Source organism: Homo sapiens, chromosome 3 (genome assembly GCF_000001405.40).
Source record: "Homo sapiens chromosome 3, GRCh38.p14 Primary Assembly".
NCBI lineage: Eukaryota > Metazoa > Chordata > Mammalia > Primates > Hominidae > Homo > Homo sapiens.
In genome coordinates, this window is record NC_000003.12 from 48,982,805 (window position 1) to 49,007,364 (window position 24,560).

Below are 24,560 nucleotides of genomic sequence, written 5' to 3' on the forward strand. Positions count from 1 at the left end.
CCTGAGGTGCTGCATGTGCCCACCCCCGTGTACAGGCCCTGCCCCAGCCACAGCCCACTCACCTTTTGACCCTCCTGCTCTGCCTATACAGTTTGAATACCAGCAGGCTCAGCTGGAGGCTGAGATCGAAAACCTCTCATGGAAAGTGGAGCGTGCAGACAGCTATGACAGAGGGGTAAGTGCCTACTGTCCTCTTGGATTCTATATTGCAGGTAGAGGACTGGCATGGTAATAGGTGACAGCGTTGTTGGCTTGTGCACTGGTAGCTGCTGCTAAGAATGGGAAGGGCAGTGTTTTTGACTCCTTGGAGGTCCTGGAGGGTGTTTGTGGCTTTGGCTACTCCTTGCTCCCAGGCCTGGGCCATGCAAGCACACACCTTGTTTCTCTGATGCAGGACTTGGAGAACCAGATGCATATAGCGGAGCAGCGGAGGAGAACCCTGCTGAAAGATTTCCATGACACCTAAGTTGGGATGTGGATGTGCCGGGGTGAGGAAGATGTGGCTGCAAGGTCTCCCGGCTGCCATACTGCATGCTGCAGGCTCTGCCTTTCATGACCCCAGGCAACAGCCAGGGCCCCACTCCTGAGAGACACTGGCAACACCTCTTAGTTGATTTCTGTTTTCTTCTCTTTTCACTTTTTGTTTCTACCAGGGTAGAGGCCATGTTGAACTGGCCTCTTTTCAGGACTTTTATTTCCCCCTGGATGGTTGTTGGGAGGGAGGGAAAGTGTTTTCTGAATGGCTATTAATAGTATTAGATCATTACAACTTATGTAACTTTCAAAGGTTGTACAATTATACAAAAAAAAAAAAAAGGCAAACTATAGGATAACACAGAGCCCTTTTTGAAAATAAATTGGCATTGGAGTGTTTTACCCTCTAGCTGTTTTACTTAGAATGTAACATATGCTGCCTACCCACCTCAAAATGTCTGTACTGCAAGAGGGCCCTGGGCCTCTGCTTTCCATATTCACGTTTGGCCAGAGTTGTAGTCCCAAAGAAGAGCATGGGTGGCAGATGGTAGGGAATTGAACTGGCCTGTGCAATGGGCATGGAGCACAAGGGGTCACAGCATGCCTCCTGCCTTACCGTGGCAGTACGGAGACAGTCCAGAACATGGTCTTCTTGCCACGGGGTGTTGTTGTCTCTGGTGGTGCTGCATGTCTGTGGCTCACCTTTATTCTTGAAACTGAGGTTTACCTGGATCTGGCTACTGAGGCTAGAGCCCACAGCAGAATGGGGTTGGGCCTGTGGCCCCCCAAACTAGGGGGTGTGGGTTCATCACAGTGTTGCCTTTTGTCTCCTAAAGATAGGGATCTACTTTTGAAGGGAATTGTTCCTCCCAAATAAATTTGCTTTACCTTGGTCCTTTCTTTTGTGCCAGTATTCAAGTGGTATAGCTCTGAGCAGGGTCACATTTGGCCAAACCTGACACTGTCTTGCTGCATTCTCCTTTGGCAAACATCAGGGTCAGAATTCAGGATAGCCCTTCCTAGGGCACTGGACTTTCTGGCATGGGGGCTGTGTTTGCACAAGTTATTTTCATGTTACCTGGAGAGTGTCCAGAGGCTGCTCTGAGGCTGAGGTGTGTTCCCCCTTGCCTGGTTCCAGCTGTCAGAGGGATACCATCCTAGGGTCTGGGAATCCAAGGCCACGAGACTCCTTGGTTTGTGGTCCGAGATCCTGTACTAAGGAGGGTCTGGCCAGAGGAACAGACCAGCTTTTGCACAATGAAGCGCAAGGGAACAAGTGGTTTGCCTGGTGTCCTACCTGTCCTGAACCTGGTCCTGTGGGCCATTGAAAAGTTAGATCTGTGATCTCTGGGGTTTTTGTGGCTTTGTTCAATGCTTCCACTCTAGGGCAGGCAGAGCAGTCTATACTCTCCCAAGCCTGCTTGACCTCCAAGTAGAGCTGATACAGAGATCTGTGAATATTGTGATAGAAATTCTTTGGTATTCATACATTTCAGCTGCAAGTCAGCAATTTCCCAGGTACCATGTAAGCTATAAAACAGTCATTCTTAAAGACAGAGGATAGCTGTGACTCATGGGATCATGAGGTCCATGGCTGGTTGCAGGTTCCCTTTTTCCTTCCTCAGGTTTTGTCTCTTCCTGTGTTGTCCCCAGCAAGGGAGAGACTGTGGGGTGGATTGGGAGAACAGATTAGGAGTATAGCAAATGAACCCAGAATGGAACAGTGGGGAGCTAACTGTGAATGAGGAGAGTACCTGCTGCAGGACCTGGAGGTCAGGTGTGAATGCTGTATTGGCACAGGGAATAAATATCCTGGCGTCTGGAGCCTTCACCTCTCCGTCAAGTCCTTCCTGTGATACTGCCATGGCACAGGATCTGAGTTGCAGCTCTGCACCCTAAATCACACCCTGGGCATTGTCTGGGCTGCAGGGCTGCCAGGTTCTGTACTTGTGTCCAGCTGTGGCCCTGGATGCTGGAGCTGGAGGGTTTTCTGTGCTCAGACTGTAGCCTGTAGCTCTTGGCCTGTGTAGAGCCCCCTCCTGTGCCCTCAGTGGCTGTCGTTTGTTAACATCATCAGGAAGATGGGAAAGGTCAGGCAGAATTTTTCTGCCCTACAAAGGGTGGAAGAGAAAGGACACAGTATTTTCATGAATTTACCATATATCTTTGTTTTTCTTCAACGAAAAAGTTAATTGAGGCAATGTCATCTGCTCAAAGTTGAGTGGTTTATTCACAATAAACTGTAAGTTTCTGATTATAAAAATGTGTCTAGAGTCTTTCTTCATGGGGTCTAGGTAGTCTTCTGAGCCCACAGGGGTCTGGCCAGTGAACACCAGAGGAGTGCCTTCCTATCAGTCAGCCCCTTCTTCCAGAGGGCTGTGGAGGCCCCAGTGGCCAAACTCGGCTCTGTTTTCCCTTTCTGGCTGTTGGGGGAGAGGGCACCTGTAAGTGATCCCTGTGGAATGAAGTAGAAAATCCTGCCAGTTTTCCGCTCTCCTCTCCCTCAGTACAGGCTGAATCATTCCCCACCACAGATAGATCCCAGGGTTGTGGTAGAGTACTGATATAAATGTCCCAACCCCCCCATTCTGAGACCTCCGGACCCCTCCAAAGCAGACATGGGAATGTAGGGCTGTGGAATATGGCAGGGTGAACTCCAGCTTCACGGGAGCCCTAAGGGTTATGAAGAGACAACTTGGGGCAGAAACAAGTGTGGAGTCTAATCTCAAGGGTGAAGGACAGGAAATGAGGTTTGGATTGATTAAGGGGGTCCACATTTGTGGTGTCAGAAGTGGCAGTAGTGTCAGTGATAAGTAGCTCAGGGGTAGAGTGGAGGCTCCATAGCTGTGGGCAACATGCACAGGGCACCTGTGGCTAGAAGAGGCCTCATACATTGCCAGTCTGAACTCCGCAGCTCTTCCTCTGGACCTCAGGTGTGCCAAGCCCCACGCTTGGCACCTGGGCATACAGTGGTATGCAAGTGATTCACGTGCTCTAGCTTCCAGGAGCTTCCAATCCATGGGGAACATAGAAGGAATTGATCACTAGTGAATGTTTGTTTTTTGTTTTGAGACAGTCTCGCTCTATCGCCCAGACTGGAGTACAGTGGCATGATCTCTGCTCACTGCGGCCTCCACTCCTGGGCTCAATTATTCTGCTTCAGCTCCCCGAGTAGCTGGGACCAGTGTGTGCCACCATGCTCCCCTAATTTTTGTATTTTTTTTTGTAGAGACAGGGTCTTGCCATGTTGCCCAGACTGGTCTCAAACTCCTGAGTTCAAGCTATCTTCCTGCCTTGGCCTCCCAAAGTGCTGGGATTACAGGCATGAGCCACTACACCCAGCCCACTAGTGAATGTTTTTACTGGAGCAGCAAGGCCAGGAGCAAAGGACCACCCATGCTCAGGGCCACTCCTGCAGATCAGTGGGGCCAGGGTACTATGGCCTTGGCACCATACCTTTGGCAATCCTAAAAAGAGAGAAGATAGCACCTTCTAGCGAAGTCAGGAGGGATTTTCCATGTAGCCCACAGGGGTTTACACAATAAGCATCTGAGCATCTCCTGTATAACAGGCTCTGCTTGGGGCGGGATAGAAAGTGATAGAAGTGGGACCTCACAAAGACAATCACACTAATGTTAACTGAGAACATACCCATTTAGTCCTCACAGCAGCCCCTTGAGGTAGGTGCTGTCATCATCCACATTACACAGCCATTTAAAATGAGTTAGGGGCCTGGCGTGGTGGCTCATGCCTATAATCCCAGCACTTCAGGAGGCTGAGACTGGAGAACTGCTTGAGCCCTGGGAGTTCATGACCAGCCTGGACAACAGGGAGATCTCTTCCTACAAAAATAAAAAATAAAAATTAGCTGGGCGTGGTGCTGCACACCTGTAATCCCAGCTACTTGGGAGGCTGAGCTAGGAGGATTGCTTGGGCCTGGGGGTAGGTGCTGCAGAAAGCTGTGATCACACCACTGCACTCCAGCCTGGGTGACAGAGCAAGACCCTGTCTTAAACAGGCCAGGCGTGGTGGCTCATGCCTGTAATCCCAGCACTTTGGGAGGCCGAGGGGGCGGATCACCTGCAGTCAGGAGTTTGAGACCAGCCTGACCAACATGGTGAAACCCCACCTCTACTAAAATATACAAAAAATTAGCCAGGCCTGGTGGTAGGTGCCTGTAATCCCAGCTACTCTGGAGGCTGAGGCAGGGGAATAGCTTCAACCCAGAAGGCAGAGGTTGCAGTAAGCTGAGATCGCGCCACTGCACTCCAGCCTGGGCACGACAGAGCGAGACTGTCTAAAAAAAAAAAAAAAAAAAAAAAAGGCCAGGCACAGTGGCTCACTCCTGTAATCCCAGCACTTTGGGAGGCCAAGGCAAGGAGATCGAGAACATCCTGGCTAACACAGTGAAACCCCATCTCTACTAAAAAACAAATACAAAAAAATTAGCCGGGCGTGGTGGCAGGCACCTGTAGTCCCAGCTACTCAGGAGGCTGAGGCAGGAGAATGGCGTGAACCCGGGAGGCAGAGCTTGCAGTCAGCCGAGATGGCACCACTGCACTCCAGCCTGGGCGACAGAGCGAGACTCCACCTCAAAAAAAAAAAAGAATACAGATCAATAGAAGGCCTGGATTTGGTAGTATGTATTGTCATGGCATCAAAGGGCCAGGCTTTTAAAAGACTGAGAAATTCTGGTTTCTGATGTGGTTGTGAAATTCCCACAGCTGACAGCAGGTGGAGCAGCCCTGCAACCTGCTTGCTTTCTGTTGTCTGGCAATGAGCTATCAGTACCTGTGCTTAGTGGTAGGCCTAGTTCAGGTAATAGGTGTAAGAATGGAGTTCAGGAAAATAGGTTAAGCAAAGTACAGATTTTATGGTGATCAAATTCTAGTTTTTAAAAGGCTAGAGGGGCCGGTCGCGGTGGCTCATGCCTGTAATCCCAGCACTTTGGGAGGCCAAGGCGGGCGGATCACGAGGTCAGGAGTTTGAGACCAGCTTGGCCAACATGGTGAAACCCCATCTTTATTAAAAATATAAAAATTAGCTGGGCGTGGTGGCACGTGCCTGTAATCCCAGCTACTTGGGAGGCTGAGGCAGGAGAATTGCTTGAACCCGGGAGGCAGAGGTTGCAGTGAGCCGAGATGAAGCCACTGCACTCCAGCCTGGGTGACAGAGCAAGACTCTGTCTCGGGGAAAAAAAAAAAAGGCTAGAGGGAAATAGTCTCAACTTCATTCCAGAAAAGGTATGAGAAAGCCATGAGATCCTTGGTAAAATTATGGTTCTGTTGGTTGGTTTATTATATTTAAGAATTTAGGAGATTTGGTCTGGGTGTGGTGCCTTATGTCTGTAATTCCAGCACTTTGGGAGGCCAAGGTGGGTGGAACACCTGAGGTCACGAGTTTGAGACCAGCCTGGCCAACATGGTGAAACCCTGTCTCTACTAAAAATATAAAAATTAGCCGGGCATTGTGGCGGGCACCTGTAGTCCCAGCTACTTGGGAGGCTGAGACAGGAGAATTGCTTGAACCCGGGAGGCGGAGCTTTCGGTGAGCTGAGATCACACCACTGTACTCCAGCCTGGCGACAGAGCGAGACTCTGTATCAAAAAAAAAAAAAAAATTATAATTAAAAAATTAAAACTAAATAATAATAAATAAAAATACAAAAAAAAAAATTGGCCCGCCATGGTGGCGCATGCCAGCTACTTGGTAGGCTGAGGCAGGAGAATTGCTTGAACCCGGAAGGCAGAGGTTGCAGTGAGCCAAGATCGCGCCACTGCACTCCAGCCTGGGCGACAGAGTGAGACTCCGTCACACACACACAAAAAATCTTAGAAGAAAGAGGTGGGCCTGCCCTTGGAGCCCCTGGCCTGCCTTGACTTGAGGGGACTAGAAAATGCAGACTATGCTTTGCTATGGGGAAGGGAGAGGAGATGGGAGTAGAGGTAGTGGGGGTCTTAACCAGGGTAGGGAGAAACCACCAGTGTGACCTGCCTTAAAAGTGTTGCTCTTGCCTGCAAGTCCACCTCGGGGAGGGGGGTCAGCTTCTGCCCTGAGGGCGTGTAGTAATCTCTTCCTGAGGATAACCAGCTCTAGAAGAGCAGGGATGCCTTGGCACTTGACCACTGGTAGGTATGTCCTCCCCCCACCCCCGTTTTTGGTGATAATCTGTTTAATTTTTCTCTGAGGTAATGGTGTCTCAGTTATGGAAGAGTCCCTTCCCGCCTCTTCACACGTGCCAGCTTTGATGCAAGGAGTGTTCCATATACCTGAGCACTGGTTCATTCCTGCGGGCTGCCATGGGGGGCTCACTTTCCTGATGCCAGGGCTCCTCCAGGATGCCCCCTCTGACGGCCTATGAAACCTTGCACATCAGGCAGCTTCTTCCTAAGGCCTGCCTGACTCCGGCGAGACTTCCCGGGAGATCCGGACCGACCGCGGAACCGAGCTCCAAGAATGCCTGCGAGGAGGCTGTGGGTCCTACCCTATCGCCGCTTACGCAGTCCCAGCCTCCGCGGCGCCCCCAAATGCCGCACTGTTGAGTCATCTCAGCGCTGCCTCCTCCGCGCTGCGCTCCCCACCCCCGCTCCTGGAGCAAGAAGATGCAGACGATACTTTTCCCGGAGGCAAGAGGGCGTCTTCACGCAGGCACCGAGAAGCTCCCACTAGTGTATGCCTTAATGGTGCCGCTCTTGTCCGCGTCTACGCTTGGGACCTTGGCTTCTGACTTGGAGAGTGTACAGCTCTGCCCGACGGCAACCCAGCTTGGGAAGAGAAGCCCCAGCGTGGGCTGGGGCTCAAGGCGCAGGAAGGCCGAGCCCGGCGCGGACGCAGGCGGCTCCGGGCGGGCTCAGCACCCCCAGGCACCGTCTCCTAGTGACCGCGGCGCTCGCGGGCCTGGCGGCCGTTGTCCGGGCGACTGCGCAGCGCGGGCACCCCCGCGGCCCCTCCCCTGGGCGCGCGCGCGACCTGGGTGCCATGGCGGCAGCGGCGGTGACAGGCCAGCGGCCTGAGACCGCGGCGGCCGAGGAGGCCTCGAGGCCGCAGTGGGCGCCGCCAGACCACTGCCAGGCTCAGGCGGCGGCCGGGCTGGGCGACGGCGAGGACGCACCGGTGCGTCCGCTGTGCAAGCCCCGCGGCATCTGCTCGCGCGCCTACTTCCTGGTGCTGATGGTGTTCGTGCACCTGTACCTGGGTAACGTGCTGGCGCTGCTGCTCTTCGTGCACTACAGCAACGGCGACGAAAGCAGCGATCCCGGGCCCCAACACCGTGCCCAGGGCCCCGGGCCCGAGCCCACCTTAGGTCCCCTCACCCGGCTGGAGGGCATCAAGGTGAGGACCTCCCTGCCCCGCCGCGCTCCAGGCCCTGCACGGCTGAGCCCGAGAGGACCGGCGCTCAGCCCGGGTCCCCACGCTGCCCCCGGCGCTGCTCTGCGTCGGTCCCGCGCGCTCCCACTCACTCGCCTGCTGTCGCTCTCCGGGCCGGGGCGACTTGGCCCTTCTTGGGCAGCGCGGTCTGGCGCCCCAGCTGCCCGCTGTGCGCCTTTTCCTTAGGTGGGGCACGAGCGTAAGGTCCAGCTGGTCACCGACAGGGATCACTTCATCCGAACCCTCAGCCTCAAGCCGCTGCTCTTCGGTAAGTCCGCCAGATACTCCTGGGAAGGGCCAGGGGCTGCGGTTTGGTGGCCACCTTGAGGCTCGTTGTGACCACGTGACCTCTATTTTGAAAATGGCTGCTTCAGAGCAGCCCTTCCAGAGGATTACCAAAGTGAAGGACCTTCCCCGTCCTCGAAATAGGGTAACACTCCCTCTTATCCCAACTCCCTGCAGTCCATTCTTCCATCACAGGGCTGGCAGGGTGAGCCTGAGGCTGGTGTCTAAACGTTTCATTGCACCTGTCTTCCGTGCCACCATTAATTCTGTCACCTTCTAGAACTGGGAGGAAGGTGGGAGACTGATAACCAGCTTTCTGCCGACCTCAGGACCTCTGGGGAAAATCCCACTGCCGAAGTGGGCCTTGTGGTCTGATGAGAAGCAGGCCGTCCAAATGTAGATAAACTGGTACCCCCCCAGCCTCCTCCACTGGAGTACCAGTCAGAGGCTCAGCTTTTGCTGCCAGCACTCTGAGATTCTTCTTAAGGTGAAGTCTTTGTTCAGCCATCATGGGCAAAGCTTTCTAGGGTGACTCCAGTTGGAGCCACAACATAGCTCATCGTTTCTGAGCTCTAGTTATGTGCTTGCCTTCATATGATTATTTCATTTAATTCCTGCAACCCCTCTGTGAAGTGGGTGTAGATCCTACTCAGGCCAGTGAGGGGGAAAGTTAGGGACAGAGAGCTGCTGTGGCTTGGCCAGGCTGACACGGTTACTTCAGTGGTGAAGCTAGGATTAGAACCCACATAGCCTGCCTCTAAGGCCTATGCAGTAAAGCCACAGTGCGAGCTGTGAAGACCCCAGAGTCCTTCAAAGACCACCAGTGTCAACTGGGTGGGGACCCCTAGTCCCATGGACATTGTCCAGGGTGTTTGTGTAGCCCAGCCCTGGGTACCTGGCCTCCGTGACAAACATATTTGCAAACCCAGGGCCATTCCTGCCTGCCGGGGGATGGAATGGGTTAGGAGCTGGGGCCAAAGTAGAACATCTGAGCACAAGTCATTACCTCCAAGGCAGAGGGTCCTGGTTGGGGATTATGCCTAGACCTGTCAGAATGATGTCATATGCATGCTGTTTGTAGGGAAATAGATTATGCTGTCAGTCCTGTTGTGGGAGAGGCACCCAAAGCTGGTTGTTGTTATTATTACTATTACTATTGAGTAACGTTGAAGTCTGTGCCAGGCACTATTTTAGGTGCCAGGAACACAGCATTGAACTAAATATAAACAATGAAACAAAACCCTGAAGCTGACATTCAAATGAAGAGGAAACAGACAATAAACAAACAAATAAATATATACATTGGTGTGTCAGATGGTGATATGTGATTGCAAACAAGTAAGGCAGATTTTTTTTCTTTTTTCTTTTTTGCCAACATAAAATAGCAGACAGGGCCGGGCGTGGTGGCTCATGTCTATAATCCCAGCACTTTGGGAGGCTGAGGCAGGCAGATCACTTCAGGTCAGGAATTTGAGGCCAGCCTGACCAACATGGTGAAATCTCATCTCTACTAAAAATACAAAAATTAGCCGGGTGTGGTGGTGTACACCTGTAATCCCAGCTGTTCAAGAGGCTGAGGCATGAGAATTACTTGAACCCAGGAGGCAGAGGTTGCAGTGAGCCAAGATCGCACCACTGCATTCCAGCCTGGGCAACAGAGAGAGACCCCTATCTCAAAGAAAAAAAAAAATAGCAGACAGTAAGGCAGAAGTTCAGCTGGGATTAGAACTCTTTTTTTTTTTTTTTTTTTTTAGACTAAGTTTCTCTCTTGTTGTCCAGGCTGGAATGCAATGGTATGATCTCAGCTCACTGCAACCTCCGCCTTCCGGGTTCAAGTGATTCTCCTGCCTCAGCCTCCCAAGTAGCTGGGATTACAGGCATGCGCCACCACATCCGGCTAATTTTTTGCATTTTTAGTAGAGACGGGCTTTCACCGTGTTAGCCAGGATGGTCTCAATCTCATGACCTCAGGTGATCTGCCCTCCTCAGCCTCCCAAAGTGCTGGGATTACAGGTGTGAACCACCATGCCTGGCTGGAACCCTTAATAAGGTAGCCAAGGTGGACCTGCCTGAAAAAAATATTTGAGCAAGGCTGGGCGCGGTGGCTCACGCCTGTAATCCCAGAACTTTGGGAGGTCGAGGCGGGTGGATCACCTGAGGTCAGGTTGTTCGGGACCAGCCTGACCAACATGGGGGAACCCCGTCTACTAAAAATACAACATTAGCAGGGCGTTGTGGCACATGCCTGTAATCCCAGCTACTTGGGAGGCTGAGGCAGGAGAATCGCTTGAACCCAGGAGGCAGGGGTTGTGGTGAGCCAAGATTGTGCCATTGCATCCAGCCTGGGTAACAAGAATGAAACTCCATCTCAAAAAAAAAAAAAAAAAATCTGAGCAACGACTTGTGGGAAGTATGGGATAAAGCCAGATGACTGTCAGGAAAGAGGGGTCCAGGAAGGAACTAATACTCACCCCATTACTACTACACTACTAACGACTACTATGAACAGACACATCTGAGGAGGCACTGTTTTCTCTCAGCAGCCTTCCTGGGATCTGTATATATCTAATTCATATTGATGTTAGGTTAAGTAAGCCATGAAGCCAAAGTCTCCCTAATAAACAGCTTGTCCTATAAAGCAGAGAATGAGCCGGGCTTGGTGGTTCATGCTTCTAATCCCAGCACTTTGGGAGGCTGAGGCGGGTGGATCACTTGAGGTCAGGAGTTCGAAACCAGCCTGACCAACATGGTGAAACCCCGTCTCTACTAAAAATACAAAAATTAGCTGGGCATGGTGGTGGATGCCTGTAATCCCAGCTATTCGGGAGGCTGAGGCAGGAGAATTGCTTGAACCCGGGAGGCAGAGGTTGCAGTGAGCCAAGATCGTGCCACTGTACTCCAGCCTGGGTGACAGTGAGACTCCATCACAAAAAAAAAAAAAAAAAAAAAGCATAGAATGAGAAACCCAGATCTAAAGTCACCAAGGGCAAATTATGAAAAGCAGAAGAGATTTGACAAAAGGTAAACTGGTTCTGGTTAAGCCATCAGATGGATCTCTGTTTCTGCAGATGAACTTCAAAAGGCATAACCAAGAGATTGCAATCAATGATTACAGGAAGTCCAGATGTGTGAGAGGGAAGAGGGTGGTCATGGTGGGGCAGTTCCTGAATACTGTGGTATTGGATGACTACAAAGAAGGATGCCTCATCCCCAGCAGGAGCAGTGTCTGTCTTCTGGGCCTGCCTGTCCCTCTGTCCATTGGTCTGCTACCCAGTTATTCTAAATGGGCAAGCAGGGCCCAAGAAGAGTGGACCTGCTATAGATTCTGCCCCCTCTGCCATGCTGTTCTTGGATCTAAACCTGTGACCTGCCAGCTTCAGGGACCCAAGATACCTGGGATCGAAGAGTGGATGCTAAAGATGTGAGCTGGGGCAAGGGAACTGGGGTCCACCCCAAGGTGCCTCCATCTCTGTAGAAGGGAACCCTAGCACTTCTCAAGGAAGACCCCGTGCAGCCCCCAGTCTCTCCTTGAGAAATATTTCCTGTTTCCCACCCTTGTTTCTAAAGACACTTGGCAACTGGGACCTGGGCCACAAAAGGCCCACGCTTGAGCTCCTGGCAAATACTTCCATGACTGGTAGGTCATTTTCCCTTGGTAGGGAAATAAAGGATTTGGAATATTGGGTGTCAGCTGAGGGCACCATCCTGTTCAGAACAGAAGTGCTCCATTTCTGAACCATTGCCACCTCTCTGGGGACATTGCTTTCTTACATGTGGCCCACTTCTCCCGCTGTCCTACCCCACCCCACACTGATTCTGTCATAGCAGATCAGATCTCATGGCTCTCTCTTTTTGTTTTGTTTTGTTTTGTTTTGTTTTTGTTTTGAGATGGAGTTTCACTTTTGTTGCCCCGGCTGGAGTGCAATGGTACCATCTCGGCTCACTGCAACCTCCGCCTCCCGGGTTCAAGTGATTCTCCTGCCTCAACCTTCCAAACAGCCGGAACTACAGGCACCCGCCACCACACCTGGCTAATTTTTTGTATTTTTAGTAGAGATGGGGTTTCACCATGTTGGCCAGGCTGGTCTCAAACTCCTGACCTCAGGTGACCCACCCACCTTGGCCTCCCAAAGTGCTGGGATTACAGACATGAGCCACCGTGCCCAGCCGCTCATCACTCTCTTAAATGTCTCCAACATTTTCCATTTCACTTCTAAGTCTCATTTGATGCCTAAAAGCCCTCTCGCCTCTTAGACTCATCTCCTGCCCCCACCCCCGACTCCATTTACTCCCTGCTGATCCTCAGACACCACAAGCTCACTACTGCCTCAGGGCCTTTGTATGTACTATTCCCTCACTAAAAGGCTTAGACCTGGCTCTTCCCACAGAGCGTGCCTTCAGCTCCAGCAGGCCTCTGCTCACACATCCCATCCTCAGAGACCTCTTGTCCTCAAACCCATCTTAAAAGGTTCCCAGGCACCCTGTTGCATCAGCCTGCTGGGTTTTGTTCTCAAATGCTTAGGACTGCTGGAAACTATTTTCCGTATTTATTTGTGTCATTTGTACCTCTGCCCACAAAGGTGAGCTGCATATGTAAGAGGACTGATTTGTCTCAGCTGTGTGTCCAATGGCCAGAGTTGTATCTCCTGCTGATTTTTTTTTTTCTTTTGAGATGGAGTCTCGCTCTGTTGCCCAGGCTGGAGTGCAGTGGTGTGATCTCGGCTCACTGCAACCTCCGCCTCCTGGGCTCAAGCCATTCTCCTCCTGCCTGAGCCTCCTGAGTAGCTGAAATTACAGGCGCCTGCCACCATGCCCAGCTAATTTTTGTATTTTTACCAGAGGCAGCGTTTCACCATGTTGGCCAGGCTGGTCTCGAACTCCTGACCTCAAGTAATCCGCCTGCCTCAGCCTCCCAAAGTGCTGGGATTACAGGCATAAGCCTCCGTGCCCAGCCTCCCGCTAATTCTTGGCTGGCTGGAGGAGTTCACTGGGTGCTCTCAGCCCAGTCCAGCATCTGCCTGCTGGCTTAGAGCATCCTCCACGTATCCTTCTGACTTGGCACCCTCTTCAAAGGCAGCAGGGGGTACTACCAGTGGCCAGCAAGAGTTTTAATCCATTTTTCTTAACAATTTGAGGTAAATGAGTAATTGCCACCAGTATACAAAACAATTTATTTTAAAATCATGACTGCTTTATCTTAGGATTTCTAAATGTATTCTTTTTCAGCTTAAGAAAACAATTAGGCAGCTACATCAGACCATAGTCCTCCTCATGACAAACACTGGAGGCCCAAAAGTAGAGAAACAATTTTAGTGTGCGTATCAGTTCAAGGTTGTTGTTTTGTTTTGTTTTGTTTTTTGAGACGGAATCTCGCTCTATGGCCAGGCTGGAGTGCAGTGTGGTGCGATCTTGGCCCACTGCAACCTCCGCCTCCCGGGTTCAAGCAATTCTCCTGCCTCAGCCTCCCATGTAGCTGGGACTACAGGTGCGTACCATCTCGACTCACTGCAACCTCCGCTTCCTGGGTTCAAGTGATTCTCCTGCCTTAGCGTTCCGAATAGCTGGAAATACAGGCACCCGCCACCACGCCCAGCTAATTTTTGTATTTTTAGTAGAGATGGGGTTTCACCATGTTGGCTAGGATGGTCTCAATCTCTTGACCTCGTGATCCGCCTGCCTCAGCCTCCCGAAGTGCTGGGATTACAGGTGTGAGCCACTGCGCCTGGCTAGTTCGAGTTTTTAAGGAATTTAGCTCAGGCTGCTGCATTGCCACACACACCCCTGCTCTTTCATAGGCCTGCTGCTTGGCAAAGCTACGGACCGGTAAAGGTTAATCAGGTATAATTAAGTCTGTCCGGGGTTCGACAAACAGCATCTTGTCCAAGGTGAGCATAGCCCAAGGCTATGTGCCTGCCCGGAGACTCAGCTTGGGGTTCCGAGGCATGTGGGCAGTAGTAGCAGGCCACTAGCCAGGCTGTCATCCTAGGCCTGGGAAGGACAGAAGGTGGTTTTCCCTACCCAGCATAGACAGCTGCCTGGGAGCCTGTCTGTCCTCTTGGCCAGACAGAGGACTACCTGCTCAAAAAGCAGTTCCTAGCTGTGTCCATGGAAAGTGTACTTCCACCCTGTTTGAGACTTGTGCCTCTCTGGATTCTGGTTTGTAAATCTCCTTGGGGGGCGGCAGAAAGAGGGTTGTATGTGTTTCCATGGAAGCACACACAATTTGCATGGCCACTGCAGAGGCCATGGCTACAAAGTCCCAGGCTCTCCCTGGCGGGGTTAGCCCCTATTCTTGGCACTGGTGAGGGTGCCAATGGCGCACAGCCAGTCGAAAATTTTGGTGGCCCTGGCTCCAGGCATAGGCCGTGGTTACCAACAGCCAGCAGGCCTCCATCTTCCCACTCAACACATAGGTCCCTGTGTGCCTTCCTCGAAAAAGATTGTACACACATGTGACATCCAGCTGCAGCCAGCGTTGCAGGGTGGGCTCCAGCTCTGCAGGGGGCAGTGGTCCTGTCTTCAGCACCTCTAGTCTGGAGTACAGGTTGCAGTCCCAGGGGCCAGAGGAAGTACTGTTGGTCCTGGAGAACCTGACCTTCACTGCTGAGTGGGAACAGAGGGGCCGGTGAGGAGATGGGCCTCTAGGAGTCCTCCCTAAACCCCCAAGAGTGTTTAGTCCATCAGTCCCCTCCACCTAGTAGACTAAACCCTTTTGTCTGATGCTCTGCCCTTAGAATCAGTCTGCCACCTTCCTTAGCAGAATTTTTGGTTTCATTTTGTTGTTTTAGCAATGTCCTATGCTTGTAAAGGAATTTTTTCTTTTTGTTCCAACCAGGCATAGCATTTGGATATTCCCTCTTACACTGCCTCAGCCCCGAGCCAGGAGCTGCAATGGAGGCACTTGGAAGGGGTGTGTAAAGCTACAGGCCCAGGACTCATCAAAGTCACTGGTGCAGAGAGTGTCCAGAACCTCCTTGGAGGAGCCTGCATCCTGCAACTCGCAGTCCCTGCAGCTGGCATGCAGCGCTGGGAAGAGGGGCAAGGCGAGGCACTGGCCAGTGTGGTTGGGGGTGGAGTGAGGAGGGGGTGGAGGGGGCTGATCCCTCCACTTTTCCCCCTTTTTTACCCTTTTTGAGACGGATGCCTGCTGTAGGTGACATTGAGTACAGTTTACCTGATCCCTGTATGATTTGAATGATTTGAAAGGGGTGGGGCCGAGCAAGGTGGAGACCAGCCATGTGCAGACTCACATGGGCGGTCCAGGCGGGAGCCGTTGTTGGCCACAGCAGTGATACAGAGATCATGGCCCAAGGGGAAGCGTCCACAATGCAGGATGGCTGGCCAGGGGTAGCTGTAGCAGGCCATGATGGGCTCGCAGCTGGCCTGCATGGCCTCGCACAGGCTGTAGGAGGGGTAGATGACCCTTTGGGGGAAAGGGTCGGGGGCTGCACCGCCACAGGCTGAGCACCCAGATCAGCTGGAACCTCTCCATGTTCCTACCCCTGTCTCGTGGCCTGGAACTCTCTGGTTGCTGGGCAACGACACTGGTCGCCTAGCAACAGCCCCGTAGCCTGGCTTTCCCACTTGCCCCACATCTCAGCCCTCAGCTCTGCCTCTTCACTCCCGCCCTCCCACTCAGGTGCCTTGCCAGCTTTCCAGTGCACCTCTCCCTCCGGCTCTGTGGACATCCATTGTCTGCAAGAGGTGGCCTGCACCTTGGGCCTTTACTCTCCATCTTAAAGTGAGGAAACAGGGCCCTCCCTCTTGTCCTGAAAGGCCTTCGGGGCACCGCAGCCAGGGCTGGGGTTGGCAAACAGTTCAAGGGCTTGATCCTGAGTTCTGCTGACATGGCCACCCAGAGGCTCTTGGGAGAAACCATTGTTCACAGGATAGGTTAGGCTGGGGAAGAGGAAACAGCCTTGGGATCTCTGGACTCTCTGGGAGAAAAGGCCACCAGAAGGGCCTCTGCTCCATCTCTTGCCAGGGTCTCTTTGGACAGACATAGCTTCCACGCCTCATTGGAGAGGAGGTTCCAGCCCGCCTGCCCCCAACCCCCAGCCTGAAGCGACTTGTCCACCTGCCCTATCTTGACATTCAAGAGCCCTTGACCACCATTGATGGTCTCCTGCCTAAGGGCACCTGGTTCCCTCTGTCTGGAACACTCTAACAAAACGATCCATTTTCCTCTCTGTGCCTGTCAGCGCCCAGCCCTGATAGGTGCTCAGGTGCTCAGCAAGGATTACTGAAGACCTGAGCCACCAGAGCAGGGCCCTGAGGGAGCCCTCCAGGGCCCTGCACCTGGAAGCCCCTGTCCTACCTGTCAAGGCATACAGGGGTAAATAGCAGAGGAAGAGGCGGGCATCGGGGTGGCACTCCCAGGCAAGCAGGAGCAGCCAGCTGACCAACTGCTGGATGGCCTCAGCTGCTGTGATGTGGTCCAGCAAGTTGGGCAGACGCATCTGTGTAGCCAATGTCGTGGCATAGGGCCATGGCTTGGGGAATGGGCATGCACCTCATGCAGCCCCAGGGAGCCCCTGACCCTGCTGTCATCCCACAGCATCACCAGTGTCACCAGCAGCCACAGCCCCTGCTCCATCACTGCCTTCTGTGCCTTGGCCTTAATGAACTGAGGTTGAGGGTTTTATAGGGCTGTTCCTGCACCCAGGGAGCCAACAGAGGAGATCCTGCAGGGGTTTGCACAGCTCCGAGGTGCCCGGACCCACCTGGTGAGGCCCCAACATGCTGACTGGGCTGTTTGTTTTTGATTAGCACACAGCAGGGGACTGTAGAGGCTGGAGGCACCTCCACTGGGCTTGCAGATTACTGGCACCTAATAAACTGAAGAAACCTGGGCCTGTGTTTTCTTTTCTTTTTCTGGCTTCCTTTTTCTTTCTTTTTAAATTTTGTGTGTTAAGCAATCAAGAGGTGACTCTGTTGATTTGCAATTTGATCTAATCCATTGTTCCACAGGGCTGTCTCCCCTTGGATCACACCCTTTCTGGGTTTGCTGGGGTCACGGGATCATGCAGGCCAAGAGTGGGGGCCTTTGTCCTATCCTCAGTGTTATCACATCAGGGTCACCTGCTCCTAGTAGCTGAATCTGGTCATGAGCATGGTTTCTGGAACACAGCAGGCTGGGTGGCCAGTGGCAAGGCACTGATTTCTCTGTGCTTGGGTTTCCTCTTAGATAGGAAGGTTGAATTAATGGGGCCTGGCCTCCTAGGGTAAGTATAAGGATTAAGGAGTTGATGTGTATGAAGTGCTTAGGACAGTGCCTTGGGCAGAGTCTGTGCTACCTAAGTATTTTCTGCTGTAATTACTATTAAAAACCACTCCAGGCCAGGTGTGGTGGCATATGCTTATAATCCCAGCACTTTTGAGCCCGAGGTGGAAGGATAGCTTGAACCCAGGAAATTGAGACCAGCCTGGGCAATATAGGGAGACTCCATCTCTACAAAAAATAAAAAAATAAAAAAAGCTCCAACCCTGGTGCTGAGTGACCATTTTCCTTCCTCTTGGCAATGACTGGAACTTTGTGCTGGAAGTGTAACTGAGAGAAGCGGCAGGCCACTCCGCAGGTAGCAGTGCTGCCCTTCCTCCAGTCAGCTCCTCTGCGTGCTTCTTGTCCTCCAGTGAAGACCGCTCTCCCAGGAACAAGGGAAGGAAGCAGGGCCCATGCTCCTGCTCTGGAAGTGTCTGGGGCTACCAGAATGTGGGCTCCCTAGATGTGAGGCTCAGGTTCTAGCTCCACCAAGCCACCTACCAGCTGTGCCTGGTGTGCAGGCAGCCAGCCACTGAAGCCAAGCCCCAGGCCTGACTGATCTTTACTCAGGGGTGTAGAGGCATAGAGTAGGCACTAAGTGAACATTTGTACCAGGGAAGGAATCAAGGAAGCAAAGGACACCTGGGACATCTTTTCAGAGACCAGTATCTGCCCAAAACCTGAGTAACCCTCACTGATCTTCCAGCACTGGGCAACTCAGCCCTGGTCAGATGGCCAGCACCCATCTTTGCAGGAAATTGGAGGGGAAGGCCCTTGGACTGGCCTGAAACATTGGATGTCTTGTGCTGTTTTTATTTGAATAATGCTGAAAAGTTAAAATGAAAGCAAGAAGCAGCCACCATCTCCCCACTTTAAATATTTATACCCAGTAAAAAGTAGCAATCAAGCCTCTGCCCTTCAGGATCACTCTCTAGCCTTCAGTCCCAACCCAAAGATGGGTCAGCCCATATCCAGGTTAGCTCTGGCTCACCTCCCAGGGCTCTCCTGGAAAATGTGTGCTCTCATCATCAAGAGAGGTCCCACATTTCCAACGCCAGCCAGCCTTTGCAGGACAACTCAATCTTGACAAGTCAGAATCAAGGGGTCTGTAAAATCCTCCATCCTCCAGACCTGGTGGCCACTGAGGGACATGCAGTACCCCAGGAACCCTGAAGGGAGGAAGGTACTGGGTGCACCAGCGCCCTGGCTCAGTCCTTGGCCTCACCCACCTCCTCTTCTGGCAGAAATCCCCGGCTTCCTGACTGATGAAGAGTGTCGGCTCATCATCCATCTGGCGCAGATGAAGGGGTTACAGCGCAGCCAGATCCTGCCTACTGAAGAGTATGAAGAGGCAATGAGCACTATGCAGGTCAGCCAGCTGGACCTCTTCCGGCTGCTGGACCAGAACCGTGATGGGCACCTTCAGCTCCGTGAGGTTGGAATCCTGGGACCTGAGTAGGCTCAGGGTGGGAGTGCCCAGAATCACCTTTCTGGTGGCCAGGTCACTTGTCCAGCCCAGGCCTGGTCCCAAAAGTCAGATACTACCCAGACCTGCCTGGGCATGCCCAGACCCAGGAGGTCCCCTTTCCCTCTGGAGAGCTCTTGGCTACCCTGGGAACCTCAGAAGATGGCAGGAGAATCCACCTGGGGGTGATGGCATTTATCACCATAGTTTTGGAGGGATGCACCTCTGTAGCCTGCATTCCTTGCTCTCATGGCTGGGGGCCCCACAGAACTCATGGTGGATGGGGTGGCAGCTCTGAGGTGGCCAGCAGCCTGCCTCTCTCTCTGCATAACTCTCACACACTCTACAGCCAGGCTGGAGGGCCAAGCTTCTGAGAGAAGTCTGGCAGGGTGGTGGTGCGGGGCACTGCCCACACAGAACACCCCACTGAGCCTGGTCTTTCTGAGGGATCTGGTGGTCATGCCCTAACCAGGTCTCCCCCTGGTGCCTGTTCTCCCTTAACACCCAGGACTTGGCTTTCCCCATCTCACCCGGAGTATCTGAGTGGGACACAGGCCTGTCCTTCACTCTGCTTCCAACCAACAGTGCTCTCCATGAAGGCCACGGGGCCTTAGTCCGGGAATGCAAATGGCCTACGCCTCTTGACCCCCAGCCCCCGGCCTTCTCCTCAGATGCTCTGTACCTTTCTACCTGCACTCACTTTGGCCCAATGGGCTCTGCCCTGTGTCCTCATCCATGCCCTCACCTGAACACTTTGCTCCACAACAAGCACTGGGCCATCTGTTCTCTGCTGGCTCTCCATCACTGGGGTCACCCACTGAGGGACCCTCTTATGCTTTAGGTTCTGGCCCAGACTCGCCTGGGAAATGGATGGTGGATGACTCCAGAGAGCATTCAGGAGATGTACGCCGCGATCAAGGCTGACCCTGATGGTGACGGTGAGCTCACACCTCTGCACAGTCCTATCCCCGTGAGCCTCCTGCCCACTCCCAGGTGCACAATTTTGAAAACTTGGGCCCTTCCCCCACAGCCAGGCAGCCTCTCTGCACCCCTTTATAGTGGCCAGAGATGGGGAGGTGAAGATCCAGCCTTGCTTTTTACCCCTGGGAAGTAGGCAGGCAGCCAGGCCCCCCGTTCCCCTTGGTGATGGTCTCGAGGGCAGTTCTTGGAGACCCTTTTGATAACATCAGGCAGAGTTGAGAGCCTGGGGACAGGAAGTAGGGCTGCTAGTTGGCAGAGAACAGAGTGGGTGGAGCAGGAGCAAGGCGACAGTGAGGCCAGCTAGAGCTTGGCTGTTTACCCTGCTCCATCCATCTCTCCAGCCAGACACGAGGTCCACCCCAGCAGACAGCTTCCCTGGTCTAAGTGAGATCTCCCTTGCCTTCCTCTTGTCCACCTGGAGTCATGCCGAAGCGCCTAAAATGGTAGTGCTGCTACCTGTGCTAACTGCTGGGGAGGGGTGGGCAGGGAAGCTGTCATGCAAGTGGTGCCCCCTCTGGTAATAACTCTCAGGAGGTTTCTGAGGTGTGGTCATCACCCTCATGCCCAAATTCTGGACCAAGAGAGGAAGATACAGCAGTTAGAAAGGACTTGGAACAGTGGCTTTGCGGCTGGTGAACCAGAGTGAAGAATCTGGCCGTGACCTGTGGCTGGATGGCTGCCACACTGCTATAGGCCCCAGAACAGAGGTGGTGACAGTCTCACAGCCCTTGAATGTCCCCCACCCTCAGAGGAATCTGGGCCAAAGAGTGGAAGGTGATGTCCTTGGGTCAGCCAGAATAACATGGAGCAAAGATACCAACTACTCTTCCAGAACCCCAAGAGGGTAGAACCCCTGCTTAATGGTTTGAGCAGGGACAGTGGAGAATGTTCTCATGAGAGGGGGTGGCCTGACTTTCGTTGCTAAGGTGGGCTGGTAACGCAGTAGGCAGGGCTGGCGAAGTAGGTTCCACCCAGGATGAAACCTGGGGTCATGAGGAACTCCCCGGGGGCTGGCCCTGCTTGCACCCTGGCGTATGTATGTAAGGCCCTGGATGAGGCCCAGCACTGCCTGCTCTCTCCTCACCCTCCACAGGCCGGAGAGTGGCCACCACTCTATATAGCCAGGCTGGAAGGCCAGGGTCCTGGCCATATGGCTCAAGCTTCCTTTGGAGAACCTTCTCTGGCCACTCTAATAGGGGGTGGGCCTCTTTCTTCTTAGGGCCAAATTAGGGCTTAAACTGAGAAAAGGAACTGCTCTGGGTCTTCCTGTAAGGCCTGATGTGACAGAAACCAGGTTCATCTGACCCAAAAGTCCAGGTGGGGGACAAGTGTACAAGGCCCCTCAGTGCCTGAGGTCAGGGGCTGCTGCTGCCTTTGGGGTAGGTAGGGAAGTGCAGCCTGCCACTGTTGCCTCCCAATATGGGCTTGGTGGGCATTGATGGTGGGTGCCCTGTGCAGGAGTGCTGAGTCTGCAGGAGTTCTCCAACATGGACCTTCGGGACTTCCACAAGTACATGAGGAGCCACAAGGCAGAGTCCAGTGAGCTGGTGCGGAACAGCCACCATACCTGGCTCTACCAGGGTGAGGGTGCCCACCACATCATGCGTGCCATCCGCCAGAGGTGAGCACCTGAAGCTGTTCTCACTGGAGCAGGGGGAGAAGACTGGGCAGGGCCTCCACAGAAGTCCTTGTCTGGGGCCAAGAGGACAGAATGGATTAACCCATTTGGGATTAAGTTCCATTTGTTAGACCAGGATTGGGACCCACTGAAAGACAGGCAATTAACAAAGGCAAATTAGCCCTCCTTGCAGGCACACAATGGGCAACTGGGGTTAGATAGAGATTGAGCACTTCTTTCTGATTAGATAAATGACCTCTTATCTTTGACCCCTTATCTGACCCCGTCACAGCAGGAAAAGGGTTTTTAAATAAACAACTTTCTTCCAGGGAGGAGGACCTCAGGACTCCCCGCCCCCTTTATTTAGTGGAAATGTCAACATTTCCACATAGCAGGTGTCTCTGTCTTTGGCATCTGAGGGAGAAGGATCATCATGAGTAACCCCCTCCTGCTCTTACAGGGCCAGTCTGAGATGGCTTAAGGGACTTCCAGGGGAGGTGGGTAGGGGCAAAGCTTGTGGCAGGCCTAGGGTCCACCTTGGCCAGCTCCTTCAGATCACCACCTTGCCTGGGGCTGCCCAGCCAAATGCCTGCTGCCCACCAGGGTGCTGCGCCTCACTCGCCTGTCGCCTGAGATCGTGGAGCTCAGCGAGCCGCTGCAGGTTGTTCGATATGGTGAGGGGGGCCACTACCATGCCCACGTGGACAGTGGGCCTGTGTACCCAGAGACCATCTGCTCCCATACCAAGCTGGTAGCCAACGAGTCTGTACCCTTCGAGACCTCCTGCCGGCAAGTATCTCCCAACTGGGGGCTGCCTTCAATCCTCAGACCAGGAACACCCATGACACAGGCACAGCCCTGCACTGTGGGCGTGCCCCTTGGCATGGGGCCAGGAGATCACTGGGTTATCCCGGTTAGTGATGCCCTCACCTCTCCCCACAAGTTGTTTACCCAATGGCTGGAAAGGGGTGGCTACTGGTCATCGTGACCACTGGAGTCAACACAGACTGATGTACCCACAGACACCAAAACTTGCCCCCTGAGTTCTGAAGCAAGGGGCAAGGCTGGGCCCCTAGCTTGTCCTGCCCATTCCTCCAGGTGTTGATCTTGATTCCACTTAGAGAAGCTGAAGCTGTGCCTCCCTCCCCTGTCAAGCCAGTTCTTTCCTCTTCAGGTGGCTGTTCTGGCCCAGCCCCTTCCCATCCCCAAGGAGCCCTTCAGCGCGCCCTGTTGCTTCTGCTAGCCTACCTTTCCCTGCCAGGCCCTTGCTCAGGGCCATGGCATTTAACTAAGTGCACCTGTGATCTTGGCCAAAAAACCATTGCAACTCACAGTAAGAGACTGGGTTTCGGGGAAGGAGGGGCTAGGGACATTTTGGCACTGGCCTGCCCTATTGTCTCCCATCCTAGTCTGTCCTGGTCCCTGGCAACAGGAACCTGGGCAGCTTATCCTGCCCACAGGTAAGCCCCTGGGAGCATCCACAACTGGGGACCTGCTCAGTGCCCCCCCTGCCTTACAGCTACATGACAGTGCTGTTTTATTTGAACAACGTCACTGGTGGGGGCGAGACTGTTTTCCCTGTAGCAGATAACAGAACCTACGATGAAATGGTAAGGGTCAACTGGGCTATTACTCTTGTGGGCTGGCAGGGGCTTAGACAAGTGAAGTACACACCTCTCCAGGTCTAAGGATGTGGGCCCAAATTATTCCTTGGGCATATCTGGTTGGTTTCCCTTTGGTCACCCTTGGCTGGCCTGGCCATAGAGTGGGGACAGGTTGAACACCCCACCACCCTGCTGCCCACAGAGTCTGATTCAGGATGACGTGGACCTCCGTGACACACGGAGGCACTGTGACAAGGGAAACCTGCGTGTCAAGCCCCAACAGGGCACAGCAGTCTTCTGGTACAACTACCTGCCTGATGGGCAAGGTGAGGGCCTATGGCCAGGCCTGGGGGGGGTGCCCTGAGTACAGCTTCCCTTTACCCAGCCCCCGTCTGCCACAATGGAGGGCTGTTTCTGGCTGCTTTCCAAATAGTTTTCTGCTCCTGGTGCCTCCCAAAGGCCATCCTTAGTGACTTTAGCAGACTGCCCCAGGACCTGTACTGCTTATTGGGTTATATCCATCCCTATCATTCCCTGATGCCCCAGCCTTCCTACTCCCTGGGGCTTGGGACACATGTCCCTTGCTAACCCAGGATGGGAAGGGATATGGACAGGCCCAACAGCAAGAAAGCTGGTTTCAGAGGGCCAGTAGTGTTGACTATACATTAGTGGGCTGAGATGAGGAGCCTCCAAGGAAGCTTTAGGTCTGGGTGTTTGCTACACAAGGAATGCATAGCTGGACCCACCTTGGTCATGCTCTTGGTGCCTATGAGGCCAAGCTCTGGCCAGCCCAGCCTAGGATCTCACGTCACCCTCCTCTTCTAGGTTGGGTGGGTGACGTAGACGACTACTCGCTGCACGGGGGCTGCCTGGTCACGCGCGGCACCAAGTGGATTGCCAACAACTGGATTAATGTGGACCCCAGCCGAGCGCGGCAAGCGCTGTTCCAACAGGAGATGGCCCGCCTTGCCCGAGAAGGGGGCACCGACTCACAGCCCGAGTGGGCTCTGGACCGGGCCTACCGCGATGCGCGCGTGGAACTCTGAGGGAAGAGTTAGCCCCGGTTCCCAGCCGCGGGTCGCCAGTTGCCCAAGATCAGGGGTCCGGCTGTCCTTCTGTCCTGCTGCAGACTAAAGGTCTGGCCAATGTCTTGCCCCACCCCGCCAGCCGCGATACGGCGCAGTTCCTATATTCATGTTATTTATTGTGTACTGACTCCATCTGCCCCGTCAAATAAAAAACCACAAGGTTCGAGCCGCCGGGCCCGACAAACTCCGGGTCGGCGAAACAGAGTCCGCGATAGGTGCAGCGGGCTGGCAGCTGGGAGCGCCCCGCAAGCGTCACGTGAGGGGGCGAGGGGCGGGATGCCCCTCCGCGGGCCCCGCCAATGATGAGCTGGATTGCGTGGGACGAAGGGTCGTCATTGGACAACCGCCGCGGGCGCCCTGGTCTCTGCTACCTGTAGCTGAGGGCGCTGTTGATGGGCAGCGCGGCGCGCTGGGA

General features: G+C 53.6%; 2 protein-coding genes and 2 long non-coding RNA genes across 44 annotated transcripts in view, besides 7 other annotated features; 3 read left to right on the top strand and 1 right to left on the bottom strand.

Moving 5' to 3' along the window:
* Nucleotides 1–3,578, top strand: part of ARIH2 (ariadne RBR E3 ubiquitin protein ligase 2) — a 67,541-nt gene extending 63,963 nt beyond the window's left edge. For all 37 annotated transcript variants that reach the window (NR_146084.2, NR_146082.2, NR_146083.2 and 34 more), the window contains 2 exons: nucleotides 92–175; nucleotides 395–3,578. Coding sequence is in view for 33 of the 37 variants with exons in the window: in NM_001349210.2 (NP_001336139.1) it covers nucleotides 92–175; nucleotides 395–466 (156 nt within the window). In the remaining 4 variants the exon portion in view is untranslated. The remainder of the gene's footprint in view (nucleotides 1–91; nucleotides 176–394) is intronic.
* On the bottom strand, nucleotides 2,681–7,068 carry LOC124909376 (uncharacterized). The gene is made up of 2 exons (XR_007095903.1): nucleotides 6,744–7,068; nucleotides 2,681–2,929 (listed from the first exon to the last, which is right to left on the bottom strand). It is a non-coding gene; the product is annotated as an uncharacterized LOC124909376 (long non-coding RNA).
* Nucleotides 6,157–6,720: an enhancer, noted in NCBI's record as "H3K27ac hESC enhancer chr3:49026394-49026957 (GRCh37/hg19 assembly coordinates)". NCBI's record gives its function as "activates a minimal SCP1, AML or CMV promoter by ChIP-STARR-seq in primed H9 embryonic stem cells {active_cell/tissue: H9 hESC(primed)}" and the evidence as "EXISTENCE:reporter gene assay evidence [ECO:0000049][PMID:30033119]".
* Nucleotides 6,721–7,283: an enhancer, noted in NCBI's record as "H3K27ac hESC enhancer chr3:49026958-49027520 (GRCh37/hg19 assembly coordinates)". NCBI's record gives its function as "activates a minimal SCP1, AML or CMV promoter by ChIP-STARR-seq in primed H9 embryonic stem cells {active_cell/tissue: H9 hESC(primed)}" and the evidence as "EXISTENCE:reporter gene assay evidence [ECO:0000049][PMID:30033119]".
* Nucleotides 7,031–7,190: an enhancer, noted in NCBI's record as "active region_19848". NCBI's record gives its function as "activates an Ori minimal core promoter by ATAC-STARR-seq in GM12878 lymphoblastoid cells {active_cell/tissue: GM12878}" and the evidence as "EXISTENCE:reporter gene assay evidence [ECO:0000049][PMID:35858748]".
* On the top strand, nucleotides 7,104–24,349 carry P4HTM (prolyl 4-hydroxylase, transmembrane). Of its 5 annotated transcripts, none has more exons than NM_177938.2 (9): nucleotides 7,104–7,806; nucleotides 8,029–8,110; nucleotides 18,634–18,824; nucleotides 19,696–19,792; nucleotides 21,294–21,456; nucleotides 22,057–22,366; nucleotides 22,914–23,063; nucleotides 23,260–23,383; nucleotides 23,883–24,345. In NM_177938.2, the coding sequence occupies exons 1-9, from the start codon at nucleotides 7,453–7,455 to the stop codon at nucleotides 24,101–24,103; spliced, it is 1,692 nt and encodes a 563-aa protein (NP_808807.2). In that variant the 5' UTR covers nucleotides 7,104–7,452; the 3' UTR covers nucleotides 24,104–24,345. The 5 variants fall into 5 exon arrangements, 4 of the variants coding, with proteins under 4 accessions (NP_808807.2, NP_808808.1, XP_047304323.1 ...); NM_177939.3 differs by having other exon boundaries at nucleotides 7,437–7,806; nucleotides 22,057–22,242; nucleotides 22,973–23,063; nucleotides 23,883–24,349; XR_007095696.1 differs by lacking the exons at nucleotides 22,914–23,063; nucleotides 23,260–23,383; nucleotides 23,883–24,345 and having other exon boundaries at nucleotides 7,437–7,806; nucleotides 19,696–19,847; nucleotides 22,057–22,155.
* Nucleotides 7,301–7,680: a silencer, noted in NCBI's record as "silent region_14344". NCBI's record gives its function as "represses an Ori minimal core promoter by ATAC-STARR-seq in GM12878 lymphoblastoid cells {active_cell/tissue: GM12878}" and the evidence as "EXISTENCE:reporter gene assay evidence [ECO:0000049][PMID:35858748]".
* Nucleotides 7,848–8,409: an enhancer, noted in NCBI's record as "H3K27ac hESC enhancer chr3:49028085-49028646 (GRCh37/hg19 assembly coordinates)". NCBI's record gives its function as "activates a minimal SCP1, AML or CMV promoter by ChIP-STARR-seq in primed H9 embryonic stem cells {active_cell/tissue: H9 hESC(primed)}" and the evidence as "EXISTENCE:reporter gene assay evidence [ECO:0000049][PMID:30033119]".
* Nucleotides 13,781–16,979, top strand: LOC124906235 (uncharacterized). The gene is made up of 2 exons (XR_007095904.1): nucleotides 13,781–15,868; nucleotides 16,112–16,979. It is a non-coding gene; the product is annotated as an uncharacterized LOC124906235 (long non-coding RNA).
* Nucleotides 23,365–24,353: an enhancer, noted in NCBI's record as "NANOG-H3K27ac-H3K4me1 hESC enhancer chr3:49043602-49044590 (GRCh37/hg19 assembly coordinates)". NCBI's record gives its function as "activates a minimal SCP1, AML or CMV promoter by ChIP-STARR-seq in naive and primed H9 embryonic stem cells {active_cell/tissue: H9 hESC(naive and primed)}" and the evidence as "EXISTENCE:reporter gene assay evidence [ECO:0000049][PMID:30033119]".
* Nucleotides 24,492–24,541: a silencer, noted in NCBI's record as "silent region_14345". NCBI's record gives its function as "represses an Ori minimal core promoter by ATAC-STARR-seq in GM12878 lymphoblastoid cells {active_cell/tissue: GM12878}" and the evidence as "EXISTENCE:reporter gene assay evidence [ECO:0000049][PMID:35858748]".

Excerpts from the sequence above, each read along its gene's own strand:
- P4HTM (NM_177938.2), top strand. The coding sequence starts at position 7,453 with ATGGCGGCAGCGGCGGTGACAGGCCAGCGGCCTGAGACCGCGGCGGCC. Across the intron at positions 7,807-8,028 it reads CCCGGCTGGAGGGCATCAAG|GTGGGGCACGAGCGTAAGGT; the intron begins GTGAGGACCTCC and ends CCTTTTCCTTAG. Across the intron at positions 23,064-23,259 it reads ACAGAACCTACGATGAAATG|AGTCTGATTCAGGATGACGT; the intron begins GTAAGGGTCAAC and ends TGCTGCCCACAG.